General features: G+C 35.4%; 1 protein-coding gene across 13 annotated transcripts in view; it reads right to left on the reverse strand.

The window, feature by feature from the left end:
* Positions 1-14,928, reverse strand: part of SLC44A5 (solute carrier family 44 member 5) — a 521,887-nt gene that overhangs the window by 23,711 nt on the left and 483,248 nt on the right. For all 13 annotated transcript variants that reach the window (XM_047449166.1, XM_017000608.2, NM_001130058.2 and 10 more), the window contains 4 exons: positions 12,674-12,797; positions 11,148-11,231; positions 8,147-8,259; positions 1,887-2,018 (listed from right to left, as the gene is read on the reverse strand). In XM_047449166.1, coding sequence (XP_047305122.1) covers positions 1,887-2,018; positions 8,147-8,259; positions 11,148-11,231; positions 12,674-12,797 — 453 coding nt within the window. The remainder of the gene's footprint in view (positions 1-1,886; positions 2,019-8,146; positions 8,260-11,147; positions 11,232-12,673; positions 12,798-14,928) is intronic.

Genomic DNA, 14,928 nt, shown 5'->3' on the forward strand with positions numbered 1-14,928 from the left:
TCTCTTTACTTTTCCAATGGCAGATTCTGATCTCCTCAATGGCGTTTGTGTGGAAGGGTCTTATGAGACAGCCGGGGGTGGGCACAGAACCCGTAACTAAGATCCATCCAAGAGTAAAACTAGAAGTTTCAATACATAATGGGTGACATTTGTCACCTTTAGAAATAATAGACAACAGTAAGCAGGTTGCTGAAGAGATGTGGAATCATTTAAATTCAGGAAAAATGATGAGGATGCAATTCCCTGATCCTGATGAGGACGGCTGATTTTTGCAGTTAAAAAGGAAAAGGTATAAATGAAACAATTCCATAACATATTTGGAAAAAAGATGTCAGAGAAGGATATTAGTCTGCATGAGAGCTAGAAATGAGAAGCCAAACAGTAAGAAGTTGGAGTTTGATACAGTATTTTTTTTTTTAAGAGAAAAACTAAATGCGGTGGAGAAGGAATCTGGGAGGGACATCTGTGCTGCTCAGCTAGGTCATCAAGGTTGGCATCATCTGAGGAAAGCATCTCCCACCGCTGTCTGAGCCCCTTTGCTAAAATAGCTTCTGATTGGTAATCTTGCTTTCCAGGTGCTCTGATCCCAGGAAGGTAGTGTCCTATATGGAAAATGTCTGCACTTTGGTCACCAGGAGACTATCCTAATGATGTAAACAAATGTAGGGTGCTTTGGTGACTTAACATGAGCTTGTCCTTGAAAGCCTGAGTATCCTTGAATGAAGTGGCAAAGTCAAGTTTTCAAATTGATGGGAATGGGACGCATGCCTGTAATCATGATGCCCCACCAAGATATTGCTCCCTTCTGAGGTTCTTTCTGGGCTTCTTACCAGGCTTCCTTGAATGTGTCTTGTCTGGCTCTCTAACTTCAAGAATATAAAGATGATTTTTTTTTAAAGCAACATGTAGTTAGAGATTATTTTGAAAATCTTGATTAAAGAACACAAATCTTACAAGGAGTATTACAATAACACCATTCTAGGAATATAAGATTAAAACCATCACTAAAATCATCCTGCTTAAAAAATTTTGTTACATTTAAATAAATATTTACATTTGTTAATATTAAAAAATATCCTTAAGAAATTAAAAACCTTGAAGAAACACTTCAAAAATGCAAATTTATTTTCAGATACTTATTACTCATAATTCCTATAAGTGGTTTAAATGTTTTGTTATGAAAAATTGTTGCTTGTTTTTCCTTTTCCTTTTTCTTTTTTAAAAACAAGTTTCAGGCTGGGCACGGTGGCTCACGCCAGCACGGTGGCTCATGCCAGCATGTTAGAAGGCTGAGGTGGGAGGATCACTTGAGCCCAGAAATTCAAGACCAGGCTAGGCAACATAGGGAGACCCCATCTCTACAAAAAATTAAAAAATTAGCCAGGCATGGTGGCACACATCTGTGGTCCTAGCTACTTGGGAGGCTGAGGTGGTAGAATTGCTTGAGTTTGGGAGGTCAAGGGTGAAGTTAGCCATGATTGTGCCACTGCACTCCAGCCTGGGTGATAGAGCAAGATCCTATCTCAGAAAATTAAATACATAAATAAATAAATAAATAAAAAGTTTGAAAAATCAAGCATTTGTTTCTTTTTAAACATCTTTCTTAGACCTCAGGTTAATGCCTATAAATGTCTACAACCAAACAATTTTAATTTGAAGGCAAATGGCTTGAGGTCCTTGTAAGGTAGCATTTTCTTAGATTATACAATAAATTTTCCTCAATGACTTTTCCACTTACTGTAGTTAGAGGATTATAGACACATTACTTTTTATGACACTAGTGATAAATACATTTAACAGGTTATACCAACCCAAGTTTTCCTTTAGGCAAAAAGATATTTTCTCATTATTACAATTTTAATGAAACCAGTTTTTAAAATACTCACTAAATGTGAACCATGTTTGTTGCAGTTCAAAGTACATGCTTATGTTAGTCTGAATCCCGATGTCATAGATAGTTAATACAGAACTTGGGCGTTCCTGAAGATTGGTGTACTGCTGGTAACAGTGCCATATTCCTTGAAAAAGAAAGAAAAACAGAATAATATAAAATATGATTTTCTGAAATAGGAGCTATATGTGCTCATCATACATATCTATATGAAACTGATCAGCATGGTAATTTCTGCAAAGGCAAGACACATATTTACACAGCAAATATTTTATTTGGATCCAATAGTCTAAACATGCTACTGTATTTGATATAAATGTTTTCAGTATTTGTCTTGATAATTATGGCAACATCTGGCTTTAAATGTCCTTTTGACTAGAAATGACCTTAATGTCCATCAGTAAGACATCATGATATATTTGTTCAGTAGAAAGATGCGTCAAAAACTCCTCCTAAGGTTTATACCTAATACGAATTTATGATTATCCATTTATTTATTTATCCTTGCAATTCTATGATTTTTGAGGTTATTTTAATAGATGTAACAAGTTTAGGGTTGGCATATTTTTAGTGAACTAAATCATTTTTATCCATAACATTGTCATTCTAAAATCTGTTTTGTCTGATATTATGTCTTCTTCCACTTTCTTTTGTTATTGATTGCTAGTATATTCTTTCCATCCCTTCACTTGCAAATGTTCTGTTTCCTTACATGTTGTATAACTTTTATAAATAATTTATAGCTCCAATTTGTATGTGTATATTTTAATCTGACCTGACAATCTCTGTATTCTAATTGGTGAGTTTAACATATTTATACTTTATATACTGATATATTTATATTTGTTTCTATGTTCTTAATTTTGCTTTTCGTATTCTACTTTGTGTCTATACTTCTTTTCTTCCAATTCTTGTCTTTTAAAAATTGATGATTTTTTGTTTGTTTACTTATATTCCATTTTTCTTCTCTACTCTTTTTGAGCAATCTACTCTATTTTTATAATAGATTACCTTGAAAATCTGTTCTTTTTTTAATAAGCCTAGAGTCAATATGTTAACAAGGAAATACAAGACCTTAGTTACTCAATAATCACCCACTCTAATTATTGCTCAATAATTTTGTTATGTACATTTTAAATAAATTAGTTAGCATGTAGGTAAAGCTAAACAAATTTTGCCTGCATAAAATAATAATTTTAGTGTCCAATGTCTAAAGCAATTATTATTTTATGCAGGCAAAGTTTGTTTAGCTTTACCTAAAAGCTTACTAATTTATATTCTTTGCTCACTATGTTTTCTTTTTTTTATTTTTTATTTTTGTATTACATCTCATATATTTCTGTGGAATCATTCTCCTTCTTCTGTCTCTCATAGCTGCATTCAATCCATCAGGAAATACAGCTATTATACAAATAAAAGCATGTATGGCCACCCTCAAGAGTTTCTCTCATTTGGCATATAAATTTCTGCAATCATCTCCTTACTGGTCTCGTTGCTTCCACTCTTGCCTCACCATGGTCTATTCTCAACACAGGGACTAGGGCAATCATTATATCTCATCTCTTTGCTACCCAAAGCCCTACATTGCCTCCCTGTTTCATTCAGAGTAAAAGCTTAGGTTTTATAATAATCTGTAAGGCTCTGCCCCCTTCATAAATTCTATGACCTCATCTCCTACTATTTTTTCCTTTACTCAGTACACCCATCCACACCAAGCTCTCAGCCACTTCTTCAACACACTCTTATGTTATAAGGCCTTTGCTCCAGCTGTACCCACTGTCTGGAACTTTTCCTTCATCTTAACTGTCTAACTCCATTGCTTCCAAGTGTTTTCTTAGATATTTTCCCCAAAAGAGCCCTCCTGCTAATACTGCCATTTTCACTCCTTGCCCTACCATGGCATTCTCAATCTCCCCTTACCTGCTCTACCTTTTCTTTTTTCCATAGCAATAACCACCTTCTAAGATATATATTACTTAGGCTATGAGCATCATGAGAGTAAGAACCTTAGTCTGTTCCTTTACTGTTGTACATCAAGAGTCTAAAATAGTGTCTGTACACAGCAGCTGTTCAATTGATATTTGTTGAATAAACAGAATAATGTATGACTAGATGTGGATTTCTCTTCCTTTACTCTCCTTAGTATAATGAGGGCTTCCTATATCTATGGATCCATGGTTTCATCGGTTCTAGAAAATTCTCAGCCAAGAGCTTTCAAATATGGTTGATATATGTTAGGCCTTTCTCAACCTATTTTCTATTTCTTTGAACCACACAATCATATTTTTGTCCCCTTGTTACATTCTGCTATATTTTTGGTAATTACTTCAGATTCATATTTCAGTTCATTAATTCTCTATTTTGCTGTTTAGCTTATCAATTAGTTTTTAATCTAACATTTTTATTTTGAAAAGTTCTATATGGCTCTTCTTCATGTATGCCTGGACGTTTTTGTTGATTTTTATTTTTGTTGCCCAAGCCTTTAATAAATGATACTCCATGTCCATGAATGAATGAATTCACTTTTTTTTTTTTGAGACAGAGTCTCGCTCTGTCACCCAGGCTGGAGTGCAGTGGCACAATCTCAGCTCACTGCAACCTCCGCCTCCTGAGTTCAAGCAATTCTCGTGCCTCAGCCTCCCGAGTAGCTGGGACTACAGGTGTGTGCTACCATGCCCAGCTAATTTTTATATTTTTTTTAGCAGAGACGGGGTTTCACCATGTTGGCCAGGATGGTCTCAATCTCTTGACCTTGCGATCCACCTGCCTTAGCTTCCCAAAGTGCTGGGATTACAGGTGTGAGCCACTGTACCTGGCTGTGATTCTATCTTTAATTCTTTAAACCTTTCATGCATGGTTATTTCATGTTCTATATCTTTCTTTCTTGATTTGTTTTTGTCTTTTGAGACAGAGTCTTATTCTGTTGCCCAGGCTGGAGTGCAGTGGCATGATCTCGGTTCACTGCAACCTCCTCCTCCCAGATTCAAGCAATTCTCCCACCTCAGTCTCCCAAGTAGCTGGGACTACAGGTATGCACCATCATGCCCAGCTAATTTTTGTATTTTTAGTAGAGACAGGGTTTCACCACGTTAGCCAGGTTGGCCTCCCACTCCTCACCTCAAGTGATTGGCCGCCTCGGCCTCCCACAGTGCTAGGATTATAGGAGTGAGCCACTGCAGCCAGCTACATGTTCTATATCTATTAATTCCCATATTTGAATTCTTGGAGACCTCAATCTCATGTTTATAGTATCCACTGATTTTCACACAGAACTGTTTTCTTGCAGGTCAGGTAGTCTCGGACTTTATTGATCTGAATCTGTGAAAACCTGGTGATGTTAATTGAGGAAACTTTCATCTAGAGGAGATTTACATTTGTTTATTTTGGCAGTCAAAGGGTACTAACAAACTGGGGTCATTTTAGACATTTCTAGGATGCCAGACTTACTCCAGGAGTTTCAGGTATGATCCCCTGTTCTGCTGCCAACTCAGGTCTAAGTCTCCCGATCCCAGCACTGCTATGGGTTACCCAGTGCTTCCTGCTTGGTTCCCCGCTTTGATTTTAGCTCATGAGTTATTTTTTTCATTTGGAGGAGATTTCCTTTATTTCCTAAAGTTTATCAAAACAATGTATTATATAAAACAATACAGCGCAATCCTCTTTTTAATGTCACGATTTCATAGCAAGAAGGCCCTTCAGACAGTTTACTTTCCTCCTACTAGTGAATGTGAAAGTCTAGACAATATTTTCCAATTTCTCTTTCTTTGCTTTCTCTCTCTTGTCCTAGATTTTTAAAAATTATGATCTCTGGACTTCAAGTCCTCTTTCCTCAATAATATTCCTGAATAACAATAATATCAGCAACAACAAAAATAGACATTATTTATTGAACATTTACTATATGCTAGCAAAATCTAAGTACTTTATAAGCATTATTTTGTTTAGTAGTCACATATTCCTGTTATATGATTGAGAAACCTATGAATTAAAGAAAACTGTATGCTTGCAGAGGATCATACAGTTAATATGTGATGAATCTGGGATCGTGCCTTTTTCATACCTTAAATAGATGCTCATAAACCAAAGTGTTATATGTCTTCTCCTGTATACCTCTTAACCTGTTCTGGCCAATGAGAATTGTTCCATTGCTGTTCATAAACACTTGCCCACAAACAGTCTGGCTTTTTCTCTGCTCAGTATGACACATCCACATTGTTATTTGCTCTAGTAAATGGGCTGCTGTCAGTAGGAAATTTCAGTAGAAAAAATTGGTTTCTCATGATATGTAGAAAGTCAATTGTCCAGGATAGTAGCAGAGGTCAGTTACATGTAGTCTTATTTTCTGACACTCCTCAACCTAACTGGACCTTTCCTCCCTCAGTAAATTACTGTCAAGCTTACTTCCTACACCATTAATTTTTGGGTTAATACTATCTAGGGAGTCAATAGGGAGCGAAAATTAAGTTGTTTTACCTGCACTTTTTATATGTTGACCATGTTTCTCCTTTTTGCCATTGTCAAAACTGCACTACAGCCAATCTCAGATTTTTCTTGCTACTTAAGACATCAGTTAAGTCAATAGCAGACTTTACTGCCCTTTCCTTCCTGATGACAATGCAAGAGTGATTGAATCACAAGCCCAGACTCTCCAGTGGCAAAGGGCAGAGTTTATTTTAAGCTCCAAGCAGGAACACAAAAACAAGATGTTTAAACAACTTTTTTTTTTGCAGTTTCTGATTAGGGCATGAAAGTTCTTGTGTTCCTGGACCAGACTGATCCACCTCTTATTTGTTACCTGGCTGTGCTCAATAAGAAGCTCAGGTGGGATGCAAGAGGAGCCGTACAGCAGGAGCAGATAGGGAACACCTGAGAAGTCCAAATGATTTACTAAAAACTCATTGGAGATAATGAGGAGGGTAATAACAATAACCCAATGCATACTGATTGTCAGCTGTGTTCCAGGTACTGCTCTAAGAGCTTTATATTCATTGTCTCATTTAATCCTTAAGATCCTCTGAGATGAAGATACCATTATTATGCTGATATTATAGACGAGAATACCAGGTCTTTTAACCACCAACAAACTTCCAAAGTTACCCAGTTGTATGTTATGGAGCTGGATTAGAACACAGGCTAACTATACAACCTGCAGATTCAACTGCATTCTTATATGTGCAAAGCTCTTCTTCATTGAATGACAGAAATAAGAGATTGTTATTTTTGATGTCTACTACCATAAAACTGTTGTCAGTCCAAATGGTGCCGTAGGGGAAATCATTCTTTTAAATAGAAACATCTCAAACATTCATATAATATATTGGCTCATACCTTTTTTAGAAGACTGAAAGGAAGCTTCCACAGGTGGTATATACTGTTCCACGTGAGACACTTTAATTCATATGTAGAGCTCACATTATACCTGATATGTATTGTTTTGGGGGGATCAAGTTTGTGATTAGATTTCAACCTTGATTTTAAAAATTGTATTTGTATAAATTTATGGGGTACGCATATAATTGTGTTATATGTATATATTGCATAGTGGCTCTTAGTGTATCCATCACCTGAATGACATGCATTGTATCCATTAAATAATTTTTCATTATCCACCCCCTTCCAGTCGTCAACCCTTCCACGTTCCCACTGTCTATTACTCCACACTCTACGTCCACGTGTACTCATTATTTAGCTCCCACACATTATTTAGCTCCCACACATTATTTAGCTCCCACAGACAGTACTGTAATTCTCCATACAAAAGTGTAATTCGGAATACTTGCCTCTAGAGGGCAATGCTTCATTGTGGAGTACCAATTATTAAACGGTGTGACAGCACCTGGATTAAACGTACTAAGTTGAAAGAGAAAAATAGATCACACTTCTGTAACTTTTCGGACCTGGCCTTTGATCGGATAGAAACGTTAAAGAAATAAAAGAAGTTGTCTGAAATGTTTTTCATTAATCTAAAAGGATTTCTTTTTACCTCCTTCTTAGTATCCATGAGGCAGGAGACCAAAGGCTGGTAGGGAAAAGAGTAAAATGTTCTGACAGCATTTTTTCCCCAAAGATACAGGAAGAAAAAGTTACAGAGACAATATATGCAAAATGAAATATTTTTTCTAAGTTTAAAGCTTTTTTGAGGGTAAAGAATAATTAGATCCACTGAAAACAAATGCTTTCTGGTAACTGATAACAGCGATTGAAAATAAAAGGATTATTCTGATATTTGATAATTTGAAGAGGAGTGATACCTACCATAACCTATAATTCCAATCACACCAATCATGAAGACCCAGAAGAGGCATCCAGCTATGAACCTCAGAAGTATCAAAAATATCCAACTAAGGACCATGGCAATCGTCAGGCCACTAGAAAAAACCCACAACAAACACAGTGGTCAAGTGTGCTAAACACAGCATATTACAAACATCAAGACAAAACTTTTTTTCTATTCAAAATTATTCTTAAATTCTTTTATTTTACCTGGCTATAGAAACATTAATAATGTTAAAAAGTGTAAACAATGATTTCCATTAAGACTTTCATATGAAAGAATAGGATCATCAGGGACTTTATACAGAACTCATCTTCATGTACCTGGGTAAACTGAAGTCTAGTATCAGTCATTGTTCAAGGAAAAATACAATTTCTCCAACTACAATTTTGATTTATTGGAGACAGTTGCCATGTCTTATTTTTTCCCTTCCTACCTATCTACTAGGTCATAAATTGTGAAATGTATTCATGATGAATTTGTTCTGTTCCATTTACTTAGTGACTGGTGGAAATCTTCTATAATATGGCTATCTAGAAGTAAGAGAATCATTTTGGGGCAGAAAGATAAGAAAAATAACTGGCCATCCCCGGAGCCCATAATGCTGTAGTCATTATCACTATGGTCTAATTATCTCTAGGAGTTTGTGATGCCTTATGTCATCCAGACTTCTATTCCAGCTCCCCAGTGATCTGTGGGCCATTATTTGGAATCATGATAAGGCTTCTGTGTCTCCAGGGACATGTGACTTTATCAAGCAATTAACAGCACGACTATCTTCTGTCAGCTTTAATTTCTTCTTAGAGCTTGACTGAACTACTAGAGAAGCTTCTTTTCCTCCCATATATCCAGGTTAAGGTCACATTGGAGTCTTCTAATGTAATTTCCTCAAAGAGAACTCATTAAGATCGGAAAGTTGGCTGACTGTTCTATTAAGAACTGATATGTCTGGTGCTATCTGTAAGTTTCCAAACATAGCAACAGACAGAGTGTAGTACATTTATTAAGTTATTGTCTCAAGTGTTATCTTTTTATTATAAAAAATCTCAATAATTACTGTCACTGGATAGATGACAACACAGTATTGAAGTATCATGGTCTTGCAAAGCCTGCGCTTTTAACTTGAGAAGTCATTCCCTCTTAAAATCACGGACACTTTAATGCTTAAATATTCAATATGATTGAAAGATTATTCCATGGCCTAGCCCAAGGGAAGTATTCAGAAATGTCAGAGGAAAAAAAACAAAAAATACAGCTATTTTAAGCGTATCAATACTTTAGATTTATATTTATAAAATAAATAAGAGCAGAAGAATTGAAAATAAAGGGAGATGTTCATGTTTTACTCTTATGAGTGGTGCCTGGGTGGAGAGGGTTTCATTGTGTGTTTTGGGGGTGAGGTAGGCAGGATAATCTATCATAATGTACACTTGTTCAGGTAGGTGTGAAAAAGCCAAATGAAGAAGAAGCGTGGAAATTATCTAGTGACATTTGGGTCTGACAATAGGAGAATCAATTTAAATACTGTCGAGAATAGACTACAATCTCTGCTGGAGATAAATCCTAACATACTAACAGTAATTACTGTAATTGTTTAGGACAAAGCATCAAAATGAGTAAAATCTCATAAAGTGATCTAATTTTACAGCTCTAAACACCACACACTAGTATCTCACACAAAATACAACTTAGACTTTATTATGCATCATATAGTTACATGCATCTATCTTGCTCCACTAGTGTTTTTCGTACTCTTCCCTGAACCACATTTTTTTTGTGCTGCTACATTCAAGGACCCATATAGAAGTTAGGAAAACAAAGATGAGTTAGACATAGTTACTATTGTAAAAAGTTCATACTTTATCAGAGGGAAAGGGCCAGGTAAATAAAACACAGAATGGTAGGTGCTATATGGAAGATAAGTATGTGTGTGTATTTATAGGTGTGTAAACACACACATGTACACACATGATGGGTATGAGGAACACATAAGAAGAAGTAAGTAATTACATCTGGGGAAGATAATAAAGGTTATAAATGATACTAAAGCTGATTTTTAAAAAGGAGGTGCAGTTGTCCAGGACTCAGTACCAGGAAAGGAAACAGAATGTGCAAATTTACAGGATTTGATAGTCTAGGGATGGGCACATTATTTGATATGTTTAGAATATAGTGTTAACCAAGAAACTTGGGTGGAGATGAATCTGAGAAACTAAATTGGGCTAGGTTTTAAAGGGCCTTAGAAGTAACTGAAAAAGTTTTAATTTTAGTCTTTGACCATTAGGGAACCATGGGAGCTTTTAAGCACTGGAGGGTGACAAAAGAGCCAGACAGTAATGACAGTCTTAAATGGGTCACACATTTACCCATTCCAGTCCAGTGACTACATTTCCTTAACTTTCTAGGAATGCAACTCTTATGCCTGAAAATGTTACATCTCCTCCTCCTTGTTATCTATACATATATATTTATGTATCGCATATGTAGCTATGTAGCTTTCATAACTACAATGACTTCTGGTTATGATGAATACCAATCATTACGTGGAAGGGATGTGTTGAAAAATAGGAACGATCCTTTTAAAGTCAAGGGAGGGACGAATTAGAAAAAAGAATCTGAGAAACAATCCTGCCTCCACAGTAGCATGTGATGAGAAGCACACGAGTATTACAGATACAGAAGTCCTGCAGATATTGCTCCATGTGACTTGAAGTATATATTCATAGGTACTTTTATTAGTACTTTAGTGAATAAAATTAAAATTTACACTCTGCCAACAGTGGGCATATTTCCAAATATCTTTTCCCTGTCTCACCTCACCTGAAAAAGAAAATGGCAGGAACTGACATCTGAGTGAAATTTGTTATGCCACCAGTACATTTCTTTTATTCATGAATAAAAATATAAAATTTGAAGAAAGAGTTCTACAAAGATAAAATCAGAATGGGGCTGGAGAAGAAACATCTATGTGTTTTCACTTACATGAGAATCCAATACCAAGTTCTTGCATAGTCTTCAAACACTTTCAATCCAAGTGACTTTGCATCAAGAAGTTTATTGATACCACTGCATTGAAAGAAGGGAAAAAATCAATTATTTTTTGATGACCACTAAACAGAAATGTTCTTTTTATGATAAAAGGGATTCTGCAAGGTGCTGTTGAAAGCATGTTTTCAGAAACCATCTATCAGTAGTGACTGTTTTCCTAGCCACAATAATACATAAAATGTCACTTCAGTAAACCTGCAAAGGTAGCTATAGCTGCACGCAGAGAGAACATGGTTTTCAAGAACGGTGAACAAATCCTTTTCCACTGTATGCAACATTCCCTCAATATTGCAGAAACCTCACTGTAAGAAATGAATTTAAATGATAAGATTAGCTTTTAATTTGCAAAACCCATAGTCAAGAATGAACATGATCTTTAATTCCTCTTCCTAATCCTGACAGTAAGGCATGATGGAACACATACTAGAAATTTCACAATCATCACTGTCCAATTTGAGGAATTATCAAAGTGAACACATTTATGTAACTACAACATTGTCAACCCCTTCTTCATGTGCCCCAATTGCAACACCTCTCCCTTCCTCAAAGTAACCACTATTCTGACTTTTGTGATAATTCCTAAGTTTTCTTTTTCATTTTACTAATTATATATGCATCACAGGGAAATAAATTTAACTCTGCTTGTTTTTGACTTTTATATCAAAGAAATCATATTTGTATCATTATTTTGAGACTTCTTTTACACAGATTTATATTTCTGAAAATCATGCAAGCTGCTATTGTATTCTAAATCTGCAGGAACTACACTGTACTAATTATACTCCTAAAGTCTTTTAAGATAAATAAATTTTTAGAATATCTTTTTTATCTATAATTCAACAACTGAGCAATGCAGCGATATGCTGTACACATTTATGTTTGTGCACATGTGTGTATGCGTGCACACAGGGAAATATATTTTCCAGTAACATGGAGCACCATGTGTGTAGAGCCAAGGGACGTGGGGAATTTACTGCATTATACTTAGTACATAGAAATTTGATATGCCACCAATACATTTCTTTATGTCACACTTCTATACCTGTTGATAATGAAAGATTTAACCATTTTGAAAAGCATCATTATTCTTTCTTTCTTTTATTTTCCTTTTTTTTTTTTTAAATCCCAGCTAGTCAGGAGGCTGGGGAAGGAGAATTGCTTGAACCGGGAAGGTGGAGGTTGCAGTGAGCTGAGATATGGCCCCACTGCTCTGCAGCCTGGGCAACAGAAAAAAGCATCATTATTCTTTCTAAATGATTCTGGGTTCTCCCTTACATGTTCTTCTTAATGAATATGTATCAAGCTCTTCAATTCACAGTAACACGTATATTTCATATATATATATATATATATATATATATGTGATTATTTTCCTATAACCCTTAACCCAATAGGCGCTTTAGTCTCGAGTGCAATAACAAAATGCATCAAACTGAAAATTAGAATGTAAACACACATACTTTGCAGCAATCCCGAGTTCTACAACACTTCTTGTCCCTCCATTTCCATCTTGAAACATCATCTTACTTCCTATTGTTAAAGTGCCATTTTTGGTAGAGAAGTCAGGGAAACATCTCTGGAGAACTGTAAAAATAAATTAAAATTATTGTAATCACTTTTCTATTTCTTCTTTAATGATGTCCTCCCTTTCTTAAGCTTTCTGTTATATATAATCAAATTCTTGCTAGGCATGCAAATTGCTCAATATAGATAGCTCATTGCCTGTTACTTGATGATATGATTTTCTAATGGTCCTAAGACTAGAAAGCAAATATGATCACACTCTGAAACTACATTCTAAACTTGATTATTTTACATCTGGTATATTCATCAAGTCATCATAAATAAAATGTACATCACAGGTTTTAAAAGAGTAACAATGATACATACCATTCATGGTAAGCACATTTTAGTAGAAAGGCCACATTAACTTGTATGACTGGATGAGTTTAGTTTTACTATTAAAAATACATATTAGGAACTACTTGAGTAAAACTTTGAAAATTGGGGATCAGTGAATAATACCTTGGCAAATAAGAACCAGCTCAAATTTTAGGCTACTAAAACAACTAAATTTTTGTCTGTGAATTCTTAACAATTTGTCTCCCAGCTTTTTCATTTACAACAGTTTTTTAGTGGAGCTGAAAATGGAAATTCTGAAACTATCAAAAGAGGCCTACACTTTGTAGACTGGTATGATTTCTAAGAAAAGTAAAATCACTGTTCAATCTTCTATGTTCTTATTTTGATTGGAGTCTTTGCCTCTTTACACATTTATTTCTAAAAATATTTTAAAACCACAATTTTAAAGGAAGAAATAAGGAAAATCAGAAATGGATCATTTTCATATTTTTTTTTCTTATAAGAAGCATCACTGAATTGCACAGTTTCATATGTAGTTTAAACCTGAAGATATTAAAGCAGTTGAGCTGGGGAAAGAAGAAATAGGTCTCTTTAAAGCCTTTCCCGACTTTCCTGGCTTAAAAGGATTTTCTTGTCTGCTCACCTCTAGCCTCTGCTGCACTTAGGACGTGGCTGATTCCTTTACCTGCCCCACCTTTCTACTGCTCTTCCCTTCCTTTCTGTGGCAAATTTGACACAGTAGCCTTTACCAGCTGCTTCTACACCCTCAGTTTAATCAGAGTTTTGGCCCCACCACTTCATGGAAATTATCCTCCCAGTGATCCCAATGACCTCTGAATTGTCAAAACCTCCAGATATGTTTTAGTCTTCATCCTGCTTAAACCCATTACCTAGCACAAGGCTTGGCACACTGTAGAAATCAGTCAATATTTGCTGATGAATGAGTTAACTTTTTCGAGCCTTTGACATGGTAGATACATACTCCTTGGCATATTGAAACTCTCTTTTCTTGGCTTCCATGGTCAGTTTCTCTCATGTCCTCCCATATTTCTGTGCACTCTTTCCCTTTCTACTTCTTAAATACAAGTGTTCCTATCTAGAGGGTCCCTTGACCTTATTTCATATATTTTTTTCTGGATAATCTCATGCAATCTGTTAGCTTTCATTACTAAATGTGTTCATTACATATTTGGAAAGTGGATAAAATATTAAAAAAATTAGTCCTTCCACCTACAGTGTACTATATTAACATTTTAGGGAATTTCTTTCCAGTCTTTCTTCTACAGTAAATATTTTTTGAGAGTCAAAATCACACAAGACATGCAATGTTTTCCCTTGTTTACTTGTTTTAACCTTACTTATTTCCTTTTATGAGCTCTTTAATGAACAAATTTTATTATCTGCATACTATTCCATTGAGTGCTATTTAATCTTATATTAGGAGGAACACAAGTTGATTACAACATATAATGTCTTTCTCACTAGACTGTGAGGGACTACGCCTTATTCATTTTTGTATCCCCAAGGTATACTTTATCCTGTGTACTTAGCCAAAGTGTACTTGTAAGGGCAGAGACTATGTCTTATACCTTTATACCTATTATATCTTTTGTTACTAATGATTTATATTTATCCTTTTGCATAAAAATTTATAACATTGATTTTGGCTATGGACATTTGTTGCTGAGAGCTTCCTGGTAAGTGCTGTTGCTGTGGGACCTACATCTTTGCTTCAAGGTCTTTTATGACCCAGGGAAGAGTGATGGAAGTATGTAAGACATGTTTGGTGGTAGCTACTTCAGTGGGTATTTGACTGTCTACTCAAACTAATGACTAATGCCTTTCCTCCTTT

Source organism: Homo sapiens, chromosome 1 (assembly GCF_000001405.40).
Source record: "Homo sapiens chromosome 1, GRCh38.p14 Primary Assembly".
Classification (NCBI taxonomy): domain Eukaryota; kingdom Metazoa; phylum Chordata; class Mammalia; order Primates; family Hominidae; genus Homo; species Homo sapiens.